This window comes from Homo sapiens, chromosome 17, assembly GCF_000001405.40.
Source record: "Homo sapiens chromosome 17, GRCh38.p14 Primary Assembly".
Lineage (NCBI taxonomy): Eukaryota > Metazoa > Chordata > Mammalia > Primates > Hominidae > Homo > Homo sapiens.
In genome coordinates, this window is record NC_000017.11 from 67846221 (window position 1) to 67864288 (window position 18068).

The 18068-nt window shown below is 40.6% G+C and overlaps 1 protein-coding gene across 47 annotated transcripts in view; it reads left to right on the forward strand.

Moving 5' to 3' along the window:
- BPTF (bromodomain PHD finger transcription factor) overlaps positions 1-18068 on the forward strand; it is a 158876-nt gene that overhangs the window by 20718 nt on the left and 120090 nt on the right. For all 47 annotated transcript variants that reach the window (XM_005257150.4, XM_005257154.4, XM_005257159.3 and 44 more), the window contains exon 2: positions 7720-8542. In XM_005257150.4, the coding sequence (XP_005257207.1) occupies positions 7720-8542 (823 nt within the window). The remainder of the gene's footprint in view (positions 1-7719; positions 8543-18068) is intronic.

Genomic DNA, 18068 nt, shown 5'->3' on the forward strand with positions numbered 1-18068 from the left:
GGCTCACACCTGTAATTCCCACACTTTGGGAGGTTGAGGTAGGAGGATCACTTGGGCCCAGCAGTTTTAGAGCAGCCTGGGCAGCATAGAGGATACTGAATGTATTTTAGCTTTGTGTTGACAACCCAGTGGGTTATTTGAACTTCACTTATTGTGTGGTAGTCCCTAGATGTATCTCTAGACCAGGGCTGTCCAATAGAACTTTTTGTGATGATGGAAATATTCTGTATGTGTACTGTCCTGTATGGTAGCCACGAGACACATGGCTATTAAGTAAGCACCTGAAATTTTTGTTCAGGTCTCATACTTTATAACATTGTCACTTCACTGATTTGTCTCCTTTATCTGTCATTTCTCCCACCTGCACAATAGGCACTTGTTATTTCTCAAATTCCCTTTCACTGAGAGGTCAAGTCAGGTGGTTTTTAACAATATGGGAGGAAGTCTAATATAGTAGTAAAGACCATAGCTTAGGACTTGTGTGGGTTTGTTTGTTTGTTTGGAGACAGGGTCCCTGTCGCCTAGGGTGGAGTGCGGTGGTACAGTCTGGGCTCACTGCAACCTCTGCCCTTTGGGTTCAAGCAATTCTAGTGCCTCAGCTTCTGGAGTAGCTGGGATTACAGGCACACGTCACCACACCCAGCTAATTTTTGTTATTTTAGTAGAGACAGGGTTTCGCCATGTTGGCCAGGCTGGTCCTAAACTCCGGACCTCAAGTGATCCACCCGCCTTGGCCTCCCAAAGTGCTGGAATTACAGGCATGAGCCACCAAGCCCAGCTGGACTTGTGGGTTTGTTGTTGTTTTTTTGTTTTATTTGGGACCTGTGTTGGTTGTAACTCTTAGTGGTACTGGCTGTGACCTTGGACAAGTCATTTAGCCTCTCTATAAACATCTTTGAAAGGAAGTAATAATGGTATCTATTTTATGGAGTTGATCTGAGGATAAAAATAAGATAATGCACTTTAAAATGCTTACTTAGCACAATGTCTGGCAAATAGAAAGCACTCTCTAGGCCAGGCGTGTTAGCTCACACCTGTAATCCCAGCACTTTGGGAAGCCGAGGTGGGTGGATCACCTGAGGTCAGGAGTTCGAGACCAGCCTGGCCAACATGGTGAAACCCCATCTCTACTAAAAATAATAAATTAGCCGGGCGTGGTGGCACATGCCTGTAATTCCAGCTACTCGGGAGGCTGAGGCAGAAGAATAGCGTGAACCGGGGAGGCAGAGCTTGCAGTGAGCAGAGGTCGCGCCACTGCACTCCAGCGTGGGTGACAGGGTGAGACTCCGTCTAAAAAAAAAAAAAAATTATCCGGGTGTGGTGGTGGGCACCTGTAATCCCAGTTGTTTGGGAGTGAGGCAGGAGAATGGCTTGAACCCAGGAGGCAGAGCTTGCAGTGAGCCTAGATTGCGCCACTGCACTCCAGCCTGGGCGACAGAGCCAGACTCCGTCTCAAAAAAAAAAAAAAAAAGAAAAAAGAAAGCACTCTATAAAAGCTAGCTGCTGATTTTTATATTATTACTGACACAGAAGATAGGGATTGGGGGCAAATGGAATGTACTGGAAGAGCATAACCTTGTTCAGTAATAACGTTAATGCTAGATTGGGACACTATTCCACATGAAAAGGTGAATCCTTGTTACATTTGACAACTAAGTTTCATAATTTTTAAAAGATTTCAATGCATCACAGGTTATTTCTTCTTGATGTGCCATTCATGGTTTATATATATGTAACAGTAGATTAAATAATTAGATTTTATTAGTTCTGGAGTATTAACTTCGGCTGGAAATGAACTTCCCCCTTCTCTATACCAATACCGAGTGAGGCCACTTTCTCTCAGATACCAATCAGAAATAAGGGGACAATGTTACATTTTTTCCTTCTAGAAACACACATTATATAGAGAGTTGCCTTTTGAGGTCTAGAAGTCTGAAAACACTGTAAATTCTTTTTTTTTTTTGAATTAGTACAATAAATGTAGGGGTCAACTCTAAAAAATCGACAGTGGTTTCTGGGATTTGATCTTGGCATGACTTTACCCCTGCATCTCTGCCCTCGGCAGGTAGTTTTGTTTATGGGTGTCATTGGTTGAACAAATATTTTTTTAGTTGCTACAATAACTAAAACATGATCTGTCCTCTAAAGGAGTCAACAAATGAGCCAGGGGGCATGAGTAATTGCCTGTAATATAATTGTGCTCACGCTGTCATGGAGGACCGTACAAAGTGTCAGAAGCACAGCACCTGGAGGCACAGCAAAGGGTAGTAGAGGTGACATTTGAGCCCGGCCTTGAAAACTGTCTAGGGTTTCTCAGAATTTCAGCAAAGTAAGGCAATTTCTGTCTAAAATATGTAGGCAAACTTTTTTTTAAAATTAAAAATATGAGAAATTAATTAACAGATTATGACTACAGTGCGTATTTAAAAACCAAGGCATGATGAGTGCTGTTGACCAGTTCATCCGAACAGTTCAGAGAAGAGAACATCCATGTAGATCCCTTTTGTGTTACAGAATACAAAGGAGCAGAAAATTTTGTCTCAATAACTGCCAGGTCATTCTAATTAGAATACCTATACATTGTAACATAATTACTCCGTCGAGGTAATAAGCTATCAGGTGGTCCAGAGTTTGCCATTCAGTCAGGAAATTCACTCCCTTAACCTAGACTGTGCTGGAAATTCATTGACAAATTTTGTTCTTTGATTCTCCATTTTTCTTCAGAATTCATGCAGACCACTTGACTTCCTTAGCAGTTTCTTTTGTGGGCGTACATTAATGTCTTTGGTTAAGCTTCAGCTTCCCTTTGCATCAATCCTGTTGTAATCGTGCCTCCTGAGGCATCTTTTTGCTTCCCTTGCATGAGTTTCCAAAACCCTTTCTGCTTGGTAAGGGGAGTATCCATTTTCTTTAAAGTAGTGGTTTTCAAACTTGCCGCACATCAGAATCATTTGGGGAGAAGGATAAAAATATAGATTACTGAGCTTCACCTGGGGTTCTGTGAATTTGGGTTGCATTTGAGATTACTTTTAACAATTTACCAGATGATTTTTGCTGCACCTCCATTTCAGGGCAGCTTTTCAAACTTCAGTGACCATATAAATCACCTGAAGATCGTGAGAAACTGCAGATCCTAATTTAGTAGGCCTGGGCTTGGGCCTGAGATTCTGAATTTCTCTCAAACATGATAATGCCAGTCACTTGTCGAGTAGCAAGTTTTTTGTTTTTTATTTTTTGTTTGTTTTTCCAGTATTTTCATGACATTCAATGAATAGCAAGGTTTGAAGGTAACTTCTGGAATTTCATCTAATGTGTATTAATTTTTACTTATCTGGATCTTAGGGAAAATAACCTATCAGGATATAGGGAGGTGTTTCTCAGAGTATGGTTCGCCAGAACAGCACAACCTGGGAATTGTTAGAAATGCAAGTTCTCGGCTGGGCGTGGTGGCTCACACCTGTAATCCCATAACTTTGGGAGGCTAAGGCGGGTGGATCACTTGAGGTGAGGGGTTTGAGACCAGCCTGGCCAACATGGGGAAACCCCTTCTATACTAAAAATACAAAAAAAATTAGCCGGGCATGGTGGTGGGCACCTGTAGTCCCAGCTACTCGGGAGGCTGAGGCAGGAGAATCACTTGAACCTAGGTGACAGACGTTGCAGTGAGCTGAGATCGTGCCACTGCACTCCAGCCTGGGCAACAGAGCAAGACTCCATCTCAGAAAAAAAAAAATTCAGGTTCTCAGACTCTATTCTAGGCCTATTGAATCAGTGACATATGCACTCTGAAGTTTGAGAACCACTGTTTTAAGGCTTCTCACTGTAGTCCTGTATTTACTTACGTAGAAATCAAAACACATTTCTAATGTTGTCAGATAATGCAAGGATATCATTTTCTTGTGTAAGTGCATGGGCTAGCACTTTCAAAACTACTAATTCTTGTAATAAATGTTTATTTAATAGCTTATTATATGCTAGCCACTACTTAACATTGGCAAACTTAAAAAATCCCTGTCGTTAAGGAGATTATATTCTAGTGGTGATATTAACTACTAGTTCATGTATGTATTCATCCGTAAGTAGTATATAAACTGTATTTCCATGGTTTTATATTGTAAAACTTAACTTTTCTTTTGCCTCATGGTGTTTTTGTTTGTTTGTTTGTTTTCTGAGACAGAGTCTCGCTCTGTTGCCTAGGCTGGCAGTAGCATGATCTCGGCTCACTGCAACCTCCGTCTCCTGGGTTCAAGCGGTTCTTCTGCCTCAGCCTCCCAAGTAGCTGGGAGTACAGGTGTGTGCCACCATGCCCAGCTAATTTTTGTATTTTTCTTAGAGACGGGGTTTCACCATATTGGCCAGGCTAGTCCGGAACTCCTGACCTCGTGATCTGCCCACCTTGGACTCCCAAAGTGCTAGGATTACGGGCATGAGCCACTGTACCTGGCCCTGTGTTTTTGTTTTTAAGATTGATCCATGTTGATATGCATAGCCCTAAATTACTCAAAATTGATCTACAGAATTCTATCCAATGAATAAGCCACAATTTGACTGTTTTCCTGTTGATGGACATTTTGGTTGTTTTCAGCTTGGTTGATTGTTTCTTTGCTTTTATAAACATATTAAATGCTCTGCATTGTTCTGTGTGGGAAACATGCTAGGGGAGAAGAAAAGACACACACACAATACCTTTAAGGGTAAACAAGCTTTATCCCATGTAAATGGCAATGCAGATATAATAAACAAATGATATAATAAGCAAATTGATACAATAAGCAAATTGTAATGGAAAGAGGAGAAGGGAAAAGAGGTATATATATTTACACTCACCAGACTATGGAGGATTCATCACCAGACTGGGAAGCAACAGCCTGGGCTCCAGAGTCGGCCACTTATCTGTGCACAGACAAGGAGAGGTCTCATGAAGCTTCGGCAGAGTCTGGGACCCTAGCTCTTTTTGTAACGAGTTGTTTGGCATGAGGTCCAGTCACAAGGGGCCTTCGTGACTGGGCTCAAGGAACACAAAAAGGTCAACTTGTTTTTGCGATTTTCTGCTTTTTTTTTTTTTTTTTTAATAACCACCATATAGGAATAGACTGAAATAGAGATTTCTCTGAAACAGTGCTGGATGAACGCCTCAAGGGGCTCACACAACCTTTTCCAAGACTTGGTGACCATTGTTTGTGTGCACGTTCAATTGAGTTCAGATTTAATATTTAACTTTTCCTCCACATGCGTATGCATAAGGATAGTTTCTCTAGAGAAGTGTTTTTCTAATTGTGAGCTGCAAGCAGCATGTTTTAAAAGTAGAAAGAGAATAGAATAGAAAATGTTGGTAGGAGAGAAGATATTAGTATAAGGCATGTAGTGAGAATAGTGTTTTATAGAGCTTTTGTTTTCAGGGGTATGTGTACTGGATAAGATGTAAAATATATTTCTTACTTTGGTTGTGGGCAAACAGGTGTGCAGGCTGTTCAGTTATAAGCAGAACCTTAAACTTGACAATCCTGAATTTCTCTCTGAAGTTGTGATACCAGTTTACAGTCCCAGTGGTGGTATACTGGTGTTTCCATTGTTTTGCATCCTTCCCAACAGTTTGTTTGGTTAAACTGTTAAATTTTTTTCCATTGAGGAGTCTGAGAACAGTTATCTCATTGTGGTTTTACTTTGCCTTTCCTTGCTAACTAGTGAGATTGGGGTCCTTTTTTTTTTTTAATGCAGGAAAATTAATATAATTCACCTGGTAGAGAGATACCAGATTAGTGTTGAAATTGATAATGAGTGTAATGCTCAGTGGCATATTCTAAATACACTTCTGTGAAGAAGTGAAATGACTTGACTTGCTAATACTAATGATTGACAGTTGAGGGGCTTAAGTGGTTTAATTTAATGTCGTTCTCTCTTTAAACACTGTAGTCTATGTTCAATTCTATAAACTTGAATCTTTGAATTTAGTATAATGACGTTGTATTTATACAAGACTATGAGTAGTCATTAGTGGCAGCATCATTTTATTGATTTGAGTATTAATATTTTTATATTTTTATAGATACCTGTCCAATTTTTTCTTTTAAAATTTTATAACGAAAATACATGTATGAATTATTTTTTAAAGTATAAAAAAGTAAAAAGAAATTAGTCTTCTTTTCCTGTCCCCCGACTCTCCCCAGAAGCAAGTACTATAAAAAGATTCTTATATGACCTCTTAGATATATATATACCTTATCACTATCCCCTTGCCCTCCTTTTTATTTTTAGTTTATTTATTCAAATGACATTCTATTCATTGTTCTGTAGCTGTTCATTCCTTCTGCTTAACACTGTATCTTAAAGATTGTTTCATTTTAACACATAGGAATTTTACCACTACTGAATTTGATTCCATTCTGTAGATGCATCATAATTCATTTGACTATTTATGTATATTTAGATTAAAAAGAAAACCCACATAAAAATTTCAGCTTTTGTAAACTATATTGAATTAAATATTTTGTACTTAAATGAATGTGTGACTACAGGATAAGTTCCAGGAGGTGGAATTACAGGGTCAAAGGGACATACATTCAGATAGATGTTTGCCAAATTACCTTCTAAAAATCCAACCAATTTATACTCTCCCAAAAATAGATCAGAATGGGCCGGGTGCGGTGGCTCACGCCTGTAATCCTGGCACTTTGGCAGGCCGAGGTGGGTGGACCACCTGAGGTCAGGAGTTCGAGACCAGCCTAGCCAATATGGTGAAACCCCATCTCTACTAAAAAATACAAAAATTAGCTGGGGTGGTGGCGCCTGCCTGTAGTCCCAGCTACTCAGGAGGCTGAGGCAGGAGACTCACTTGAACTTGAGAGGCGGAGGTCGCAGTGAGCCGAGGTCACGCCACCATACTCCAGCCTAGGCGACGGCTGTAGGTGATTAAATGAGATAGATACGTTTGTTAAAAACAAAACTCTCAGTTATTTATATTGATACATTTATATACTTACATATGTATATCTGGACATCACATCTCATAATTGGAGAACAGGTATCTAAAAAGTTGTTTAACTGACTGTTAAGAAATGTAGTCTGTTGTCTGTTTCCTAGGTAAGCCACTTTTCTTTTCCCCCAGCATTGGAATTCTTCTCTTTTCTCCTCCTCTGCACTTCCTTCCTTTCTGTCTTCACCTTGAGCCCATGCTTCGCTGTGGAACTCCACTTAGGAGGTACTTCTGACAAAAAAAGAGGTCTGCACTGGGAACTTCGTGTCTGGTTGTTGACAGGCATTTCTGTATTGCAGCTGACAGTGTGAGATCTATTGCCCCTACTTTGTGCTGTGTATCTTATGTGTAAATGTTTTTTCTCATTTATATTCTTGTCAAATCATTCACAAATGCAGTTATTTATTATTATTATTATTATTATTTCCTTAGAGATCCTTGTTCTGACACTGTTATTTTTTAATCATGATTACCTGTGAGCCTGTTAATCTCTCTAGGTAATTGAGAACTGATTATAATTTATAATTTTTTTACTTCTGGTTTATAATCTAATGGGAAAACTTTGCATTTAGATTTTCTATAGATTTAAAAATTAGAGCTGAATCATTGCTTCTTCGTATTATTTTAACTTGACAATTATTAAAGAAATGTACTTATGTATTTTAGGGGGGTATATGTTCAAATAGGAAATTTGTAGAAATGATGTAATGTATTGATTTGTAATGATGTCACGTCTTTATCTACAGGTAGGCGAAAACCAAGAGTACATCGGCCTCGTTCTCCTATATTGGAAGAAAAAGACATCCCGCCCCTTGAATTTCCCAAGTCCTCTGAGGATTTAATGGTGCCTAATGAGCATATAATGAATGTCATTGCCATTTACGAGGTACTGCGGAACTTTGGCACTGTTTTGAGATTATCTCCTTTTCGCTTTGAGGACTTTTGTGCAGCTCTGGTGAGCCAAGAGCAGTGCACACTCATGGCAGAGATGCATGTTGTGCTTTTGAAAGCAGTTCTGCGTGAAGAAGACACTTCCAATACTACCTTTGGACCTGCTGATCTGAAAGATAGCGTTAATTCCACACTGTATTTCATAGATGGGATGACGTGGCCAGAGGTGCTGCGGGTGTACTGTGAGAGTGATAAGGAGTACCATCACGTTCTTCCTTACCAAGAGGCAGAGGACTACCCATATGGACCAGTAGAGAACAAGATCAAAGTTCTACAGTTTCTAGTCGATCAGTTTCTTACAACAAATATTGCTCGAGAGGAATTGATGTCTGAAGGGGTGATACAGTATGATGACCATTGTAGGGTTTGTCACAAACTTGGGGATTTGCTTTGCTGTGAGACATGTTCAGCAGTATACCATTTGGAATGTGTGAAGCCACCTCTTGAGGAGGTGCCAGAGGACGAGTGGCAGTGTGAAGTCTGTGTAGCACACAAGGTGCCTGGTGTGACTGACTGTGTTGCTGAAATCCAAAAAAATAAACCATATATTCGACATGAACCTATTGGATATGATAGAAGTCGGAGGAAATACTGGTTCTTGAACCGAAGACTCATAATGTAAGTAAATCTGGTCTTAATTTTTTGTATGCATTTAAAATTAGACTAGTTTCCTTCGTGATTGATGTAGCAGAGCTATGCTGTTGATGTGGTATAAACCTTTGTAACTTAATAGTTATACAGTTAAATAATTTCTTAATTGAAGGAATATGTGCATTAAAATAGCTTTTAAGAAGGTAAAGGAAACATATATGAAAGAAGCAAAATTCCATTGTTTTTTGATGCCTAGGCTAGGAAATAGAATGTTTCTAGTTGGGACTGGGCACAGCAGCTCACGCCTGTAATCCCAGCACTTTGGGAGGCCAAGGTGGGTGGATCACCTGAGGTTGAGAGTTCGAGACCAGCCTGGCCAATATGGTGAAACCCCACCTCTACTGAAAATACAAAACTTAGCCAGGTGTGGTGGCGCACACCTGTAATCCCAGCTACTCAGGAGGCTGAGACAGGAGAATTGTTTGAACCTGGGAGGCAGGGGCTGCAGTGAGCTGAGATCACACCACTGCATTCCAGCCTGGGTGACAGAGACAGATTCTGTCTCAAAAATAAATAAATAAACAAAAAGTTTCTAGGTGGAATGCCACTGTGGGCCTGTTTTTGGTTATGTTCCTCTATAGCCTAGCTCAGCTCATCCACCCTTAACTTTGGTGTTAGGGTTGTTTTACTTCTTTTTTGGTTTTACCATATCTGTATGTAAAATGGAACAGCAAGAAAATACCTAGTTGTCTAAGGAAAGGTCAGTTCTGCCATTATTGGTTGGAATCCCCCAGGAGAAGATGATCCCAACAGACTGAGGGTCATAGTCTGGCCTCAGTGTTCCTGAGGGTTTCGAGAAGCTCTTCTGGGAAGCCTGTGGGCGAGGTCAGGAGACAGTCTCAGGGTTTACCTCAGTCAGGGCATCAGGCAGGGTTATAGTGTGGACTGAGTATCTGACATCCTGTAGATATATGGTCAGAGGGATGGGCTACTTTGTGTCTTCAGCTTCTGAAGTCTTCAAAGCCCTCTTCCAGTTCTTAGAATTAGGTCAAATGAAAAAATCTGGTAGGATGAAATGAATGTCAGAGCAGGGCATGGAAAGGAGAGTTGAAACTTTATCAGTGTGCTGTCGAGAGGTCTGAATCCACACCGATTCTTGATTCTTTGTGGCTGGAAGCTTACGGAATCTTCGCTGTCTATGGTGTTCTGCAGTTTTACAGTGATACGCCCTTGTGTGGGCTGCTTTCATCCACGAGGTATTTTTGGTGGGCATTTTCAATCTGGCAATTACGTTCTTTGATTCTGAGAACTTCTCTTGACAACTTCCTCTTTTCCCTCTTGTATTTATCTTGAGCTATGATTTTATTGAACGTTGGACTTCCTATTTTGGTCTTCTGACTTTCTTATCATTTCTCTCCAGTTTTCCTCTTTGTCTCTTTTTCTCTTTGGGGTATTTGTATGTGTTCAGTTTTTTAAGATTTCCTTATCTTGGTCGTCCAACCCTGTTATCCAGTTTTTCCTTTCTGCTACCATATTTTTATTATCTAAGAGCTCTTTTGTTTTTAGAATCTTCCTTTAAAAAAAATAGTAAAATCCTGTTTCTGTGTCTTGGATATAGTATTTTCTCTTACCTTTCTGAGGCTATTAATGACAGGTTTTTTTCTCTCCTCTGTGCATGGTCTGTTTCTTCTAAGTTGCTTTTTCCTATTCTTTGTTTTGGTTTTTCTATTTCATATTCAGATGTTTATTAATTCTTAATTTTCTGCTCCTCATTAACATTGTGGTACTATGTAGCCAGTTGGAAGCTCTGAGCAAGTGGGTGGGCCTTATCAATTTTGACTTAACCATTGGATGATTTTCATTGTCTTTTTTATTGGGGGAAATCCCTCTTGTCAGTATCTTGAGGTCTGTCCTCGAGAGTAAGCTCTAGAGGAGCAATGGCATGGAAGGGCCTTTTCCTGTGTCCTGCTTGAAGCATGAAGGTCTTGCTGGTGGTATTCTGGTGGCTGAGTGGTGGAAGAAAGCTTCATTTATTGTGCACACAGCATTTACTACTTGTATTGTCACTTAAATCCTCAGTTTTTTGTACAGTACCTTTGTTCACAACTGAGCGTGGTTTCTGCCAGTCCAGGGAACCTCAGTTTACCTCCTCTAGAGACTAGACCTTTGGCAGCTTGAAGGGGAGAATGGTGGTTTAGGAATCTGCTCCAGCCAGTTCCCTATTCTAGAGACACCCCTCCTTGTTATCATTGCGTTTTGAGGATTGTGTTCTCAACTTCACCTTCCTTTTTAGTTTGAGATCAGGCTTTCTTGGGTCTGCTGAATCAGTAATCACTTGTTCATCTACTTTAAAATCTTTTTTTGTTGTTACCATGTCTCCCCTACTTTATCCTTATGAGTTCGTCTTTAACAATTTTTTTTTTTTTTTTTTTTTTTTTGAGACAGAGTCTTGCTCTGTCGCCCAGGCTGGAGTGCGAGTGCAATGGCGTGATCTCGGCTTACTGCAAGCTCCGCCTCCCGGGTTCACACCATTCTCCTGCCTCAACCTCCGAGTAGCTGGGACTACAGGTGCCCGCCACCGTGCCCGGTTAATTTTTTGTATTTTTAGTAGAGACGGGGTTTCACCGTGTTAGCCAGGATGGTCTTGATCTCCTGACCTTGTGATCTGTCTGCCTCGGCCTCCCAAAGTGCTGGGATTACAGGTGTGAGCCACCGTGCCTGGACAGCAGATTTTTTTTTTTTTTTTGAAGACAAGATCTCCCTTTGTCACCCAGGCTCTGGAGTGCAGTGACACTATGTCGGCTAACTGCAGCCTCGACCTCCTGGGCTCAAGCAGTCCTCCTGCTTCAGCCCACCAAGTAGCTGGGACTACAGGTGTGTGCTACCATGCCCGGCTAATTTTTGCATTTTTTGTAGAGACAGGGTTTCACCATGTTACTCAGGCTGATCTCGAACTTGTGAGCTCGAGCCATCTGCCCTTCTCGGCCTCTCAAAGTGCTGGGATTATAGGCGTGAGCCACTGCGTCTAGACTAACAATATTTCTTTCTTTTTTTTTTTTTTTTTTTTTTGAGACAGCGTCTCACTCTGTTGCCCCGGCTAGAGTACAGTGGCGCGATCCTTGGCTCACTGCAACCTCCATCTCCCAGGTTCAAGCGATTCTCCTGCCTCAGCCTCCCAAGTAGCTGGGACTACAGGCATGCGCCACCACACCCAGCTAATTTTTGTATTTATAGTAGAGATGGGGTTTCACCATATTGGCCAGGCTGGTCTCGAACTCCTGACCTTGTGATCCGCCCACCTCAGCCTCCCAAAGTGCTGGGATTACAGGCGTGAGCCACCGTGCCCGGCTAACAATATTTCTTTAGCATGGTTTTAAGAAGGTTTCAGGAGGGAACAAAATGAAATCTGTCACCTTAACCCAGAAACTGCTGTGAGAAACAATACTTAAGGTTTTAAATGTATATTCTGTGTCTTTTGGTTTGGATCAGATATTTTAAGAAATATGTGTAAAATATGTGTAACTTTTTTCTTTTCTTGCTCCCTTACCTCCCAAACATCTGGTCATGGTATTCATTGTGCCATTTTTTGTTTTTGTCTTTGTTTTGACATTTTGCTGTTGAGGTGGTAACACGGAAACCTTTGTCAGCAAGGTCATTCCAAATGGTGAAATAACTGTAACCACATTTTTAAAGTTTAAAGTTTACTGCTCTCAGGAAGCTGAGGCACAGGAATCGCTTGAACCTAGGAGGCGGAGGTTGCAATGAGCCGAGATGGCGCCACTGTACTCCAGCCTGGGTGATGGAGTGAGACTCTGTCTCCAAAAAAAAAAAAAAAAAAAAAAAGTTTACTGCTGTGTTGTCATTGTAAGTGGAAATTCAGTGATGCTGCCTGTCAGGGAGCCCGGTGCTTGTACTCTGTATAGACATTCAGCAGTTAGCAGGTCACGTTCACGCAGTCTCAAGTGCCCTCCTGAAAGGAGCTCATAGTCATCAGGATGGCTGGGAACAAATTAGGAAGTAAGTGAAATTTAGTCCATGCTCCAATTCTCCCATTCCTGTGCCTTCCTTTCTGTGCTGCTTGTCCTTACCCTTTGGATATTCACTCTCACTGCCTCTTTCTTTCCCTGTGCTGCCCTTTTTGGCCAGATACAGACCAAAGGTGTCTTGTCCACATACAGAAAAACCTTGACATCTTTAAGGCTCATTACACAGTAATCAGTGGTATAGGTCTTAGTTTCAGAGACCTGTAAAATGAAGTAGTTGTGATAAGTTAGTAACAGCCAAGAGCAACATTTATTGAGCACTTCATGTGTGCCTCACAGTGTCCTAAGCATTTTATGTATTTTAAAATTAATCCTCCCAACAGCCCAATAATGTAGGTACTATATTTTTTAATTATTATTTTATTTTTAATTAATTAATTACTTTTGGAGACAGGGTCTCACTGTCGCCCAGGCTAGAGTGCAGTGGCATGATCATGGCTCACTGCAGCGTCAGTCTCCTAGGCTCAGGCCATCCTCTCACCTCAGCCCCCCTAGGAGCTGGGACTACAGGCATGTGCCACCGTGCCCAGCTAATTTTTTTATTTTTTATTTTGAAGAGGTCTCACTGTGTTGGCCAGGCTGGTCTCAAACTCCTGGGTTCAGGCAATCCTTTCACTTCAGCCTCCCAAAATCATAGGGTTACAGGCCTGAGCCACCATGCCCTGCCTTGCAGGCACTATTTTTGTCTGCATCTTATAGATAAAGAGACTAAATCTCAAAGAGGTTAAATAATTTGCCCTTGATTTGCCCAAGACCCTGTGGCTCTTAGGAGGTAGAACCTGGAATTTTTTTTAGAATGTGTTTTATAAGAATATTTTCAATACCTTATTTTATACTGTAGTCTAGTTTTCAAACCTTCTTGAGAAATCTGCAACTTGCATCGTTTTAGCTGTTAAAACCAATGCTTATAACTTGGGGAGAAAGATACTATAATGGTTTCTGTTATATCTGCAGTGAGTATTTATGAAATCTTTAAAGATTTGAAATAAAGGCGTTTTTAGAAAATCTAAACTAAGTGGCAATTTCAGAAAAGTTCTGTTTCCTAATATATCAGTATCAGTCTACGAAACAGCATTCAGGGAAGCAAAATATATACTATTCGATAATTACATAAATGCAGACCTTTGAAATCACGTGACTCAGATGACTTTTTAAGTACCTGTGGGTGATTTTTTGATACATTGTCGAGGAAATCAAATATTTTATTTTTCTTAGTGGAACAGTAAAATACTTATGTTTGTCAATAAAACTGTTCATTTAAGTTTATTTGCTTTAAAAGCTATGGTCGTCATTCAAATTGCCTTTTTTGATGCATAATAAACTGCACAGATTTTAAAGATGATTTCAGGCAAATAGGATTATCTTTTTCCATGCTGTGATATTTTGAGTATTTTTCTATGTAAAATCAAGTAGGAAACTTTAAACATAGTGATATGTGTCAACAATTTTGACAAATCTGAAAGATTTTACATCTTTTATGAAAATGAGATTAAAATAATTTCAGTTTAACTGTACTTTTGTGGTAGATTATATGTGGACTCCTCATGATAGTTTTAAAGCCATGTAGAATTTTCACGCAGTTTATAGTATGCAGAGGTTTTAATTGTAATGTTACCAATTTATAGAAATTAAGTTTTCTGTTATTGCTTTTATTTAATAAGTGCTTAAAAATATGTTATTTGTATAGATTAGTGAAGCTTATAATAAAAAAAGCTTCTTATACATGAATTTATAGTCCATCTGAGAAGCCAAGACATATTCAGCATATAACTCAGAGGCCAGTTTTCATTCATTATGTAAGTGGGCCAATCTTTCTTAACTATTGCTTTTATCCTGTCAATCCTTTGCTCTGAAATTAGGACCTACTAAAATAGAAATTACCAGATTAGATTAGCATGTTTTTCTGTCACTCTCCATTCTAAATATAATTACGTGAACACAGCATTATATTTCATTTTTTTGCAGAGACAGAGTCTCACTATGTTGCCAGGCTGGTCTCGAACTCCTGGGCTCAAGTGATCCTCCAGCCTTGGCCTCCCAAAGCGCTAGGATTACAACAGGCGTGGACCACCACACGCCTTTAAACAGCATTTTAAAAATCTGTATTCATTTTCCGAATCAACTAAACTATGCTTTTAAATCTATACAGCTTTCTACTCCCCATTCTAGGTACAAACCACATATTAACTTACTGACTTCCCGTGCCTGAATTCCTTCTGTCCACGTTCAGTTCTGTATGTCCAGCAGACTCCTGGACCTGTCCGCAAGGCAGGCACCTCAAACGTGTTTAAAACCAAACTCATCGTTTCCCCCCATTACCTACTCTTCATCCAGCGTTCTCATCTTAGTAAATGGAATTACTGTCCCACCAGCTGCTCAAGCTAGAAATATGAGAATAAACTTTTTCCTTTATTGTTTGCTATGCCTTTAAAATAAATATTGAATCAGTTTCTCTCCATTCCCACTGTCCCTCCGTGATACAAGCCAGTGTCATCTTCATTAGACTAGTCAGTCACCCCTAAAGTAGTGTAACCCCCTACCCCAACCTTCCAAGATTTTTTCTTTTTTTTTTTTTTTTGAGATGGAGTCTCACTCAGGCTGGACTGCAGTGGCCCAGTCTCAGCTCACTGCAACCCCCTGCCTCTTGGATTCAAGCGACTCCCGAGTGGGTGGGATTACGGGCGGCCGCCACCACACCTGGCTAATTTTGTATTTTTAGTAGAGACAGGGTTTCACCATGTTGGCCAGGCTGATATTGAACTCCTGACCTCAGGTGATCAGCCCACCTCAGCCTCCAAATGTGCTGGGATTACAGATGTGAGCCACCATGCCCAGCCATAGCTGGATGATTTTTAAAACAGCAATTTTGATCAAGTCTCCTTTTCCCCTAAGTTGAAAAACCTTTTAATTACAATTACTTCCATTTGCCCTTAACCAAAACTTCAGATTCTTTAGCACAGATCCCTAACTTTGTACATTTAATTATCTTGCTTTCTAACACTTAAGACAACATAAATAAAAAGCAAACCAAAGCACCTAAAAACCTGTTGGCTAACTAGCTCATTCTTGAGGTCTCAGCCTATTTATGCTACTTCCTAGGGATTTCTTTGCCTGCACCCCTTTCTTTCCCTGAACCCCTTTTTCTCTTGCATCGTGAAATACTACTTTTTAAAACACCCATCCTACCAATAGTTTTTTTGTTTTGTTTTGTTTTTTGATACAAGTCTCACTCTGTCGCCCAGGCTGGAGTGCAGTGGCACAACCTTGCTTCACTGCAACCTCCGCCTCCCAGGTTCAAGTGATTCTTCTGCCTCAGCCTCCCAAGTAGCTGGGATTACAGGTGCCTGCCACCACACCCGGCTAATTTTTGTATTTTTAGTAGAGATGGGGTTTCACCATGTTGGCCAGTCTGGTTTTGGACTCCCGACCTCAGGTAATCCACCTGCCTCGGACTCCGAAAGTGCTGGGATTACAGGCGTGAGCCATCGTGCCCGGCCTAGTTACTTGTTTTAAGGTAAATATTATACACTTCATAAGGTGAGGAAAATGATGACAACTATGTATATGATACCCATGAAGTGCTGGTACTACTCTAAACACTTTATATATTTTAATTAATTTAATTCTAACAACAGCATCTTCCAGGATATGTACCGTCACCCTATTTTTCAGATGGAGAGACTGAGGCATAGAGAGTTTTAAGTAATTTATCCAAGATCACACAACTACAAAGTGGTGGGATCGGGATTTGAACCTAGGCATTCTGGCTCCAGAATGTGTGCTCCTAAGCACTACTTGGGCTGCTTGACCAAGAGCTTAGGACCTAGCTTTTGTCTTTAATTGCTGAATTGCTAGTTTTATCAGTTTCCTGCAGCTGCTATAACAAAGTACTATACCAAAAAAAAGTACTATAAAACTGGGTAGTTTAAAACAGTAGAAATTGATTATTTAACAGTTTTGGAGAATAGAAGTCTAAACTCAAAGGTGTCAGCAGGGCCATGCTCCCTCTGCAGGCTCTAGGAAAAAAATCCTTGCTTTTTTTTTTTTTTTTGGCCTTTTCTAGCTTCTAGCACCCCAAGTGTCCTTGGCTTGCTGGCAGCATAATTCCAATCTCCCTGTCACTATCTTTTCAAGGCAGCTTAGGTTTTTTCTATCAAGCACCTAACAGTTCTTCAGCCTCTTCCCATTACCCAGTTCCAAAACCACTTTCACATTTTTGAGTATGTTAGCAGCAGCACCCCACTTCCCGTACCAAAAGTTGGGAGTTTTCCAGGGCCACCATAACAAAGTACCACAAATGGGGTGGCTTGAAAAAATATGAATTTATTGTCTCACAGTCCTGGAGGCCAGAAGTCTGAAATCATGGGTCAGCAGGGTTGGTTTTTCTGGAGACTTTCAAAGAGAATCTGTTCCATGCCTGTCTCCTAGCTTCTGGCAGTCCTTAGCATTTCTTGGTTTACAAACAGACACATCACTCCAGTTGCTGCCTCTATGCTACCTTCTTTTCTTTTTCTTTTCATTTTTTTGAGACACGGAGTCTCTGTTGCCCAGGCTGGAGTGCAGTGGCACGATCTCGGCTCACTGCAACCTCCACCTCCCAGGTTCAAGTGATTCTCCTGCCTCAGCCTCCCAAGTAGCTGGGACTACAGGCACATGCCACCATTCCTGGCCAATTTTTTGTATTTTTAGTAGAGATGGGGTTTCACCATGTTGGCCAGGATGGTCTCCATCTCCTGACCTTGTGATCTGCCCGCCTTGGCCTCTCAAAGTTCTAGAATTACAGGCGTGAGCCACCACGCCCGGCCCATTACCTTCTTTTCTATGTGTCACCTTGGGTCCTCTCCTTTTCTAAGGATACCAGTCATTTGACTTAGGGGCCACCCTAAATCCAGGATGATTTTTATCTCAAGATCCTTAACTTTACATCTGCAAAGACCCTATTTCCAAATAAGATCACATCCTGAGGTTGCAGGTGGACATGAACTTTGGGGACATTATTCAACTCATTTCACTAGTGTTCTTTACTCTTCATTTCTATGGGTTTGTTTAGAAACGAAAGTTGAAACTTACTGTGAGTCATTAACCTTCTACTTAGCTAGCCTAGGTAAAAGTCAAAGAAGCTTTAAAATGTAGACATATAATATGTATGTTTGCTCTTAATTATATTTTTAGCAAACCTTTTCTTGCCAGTCTGTCTTCTCTTTGCCACCCTATGAGTCCTTGAGAATGTGTGCCCAGTGGTAACTTCAGGGAAGCCTGGCCAGTTTGGGTGAGCCTGAGGAACATGGTAGGCCTTGTAAGAACCAGAGCTTCTACAGAACCACATTATAACTCCAAAACCAAATATACATACATAATGTATATTTATGTGGAAAGCTGTTGTCACTTTTACAATGAGGACAAATAATTTTGATTATATAAACTGTATATAGGCCAAGTAACTAAGTATAAAAAAACAACTTTTCAGCCCGGTGCGGTGGCTCGTGCCTGTAATCCCAGCACTTTGGGGA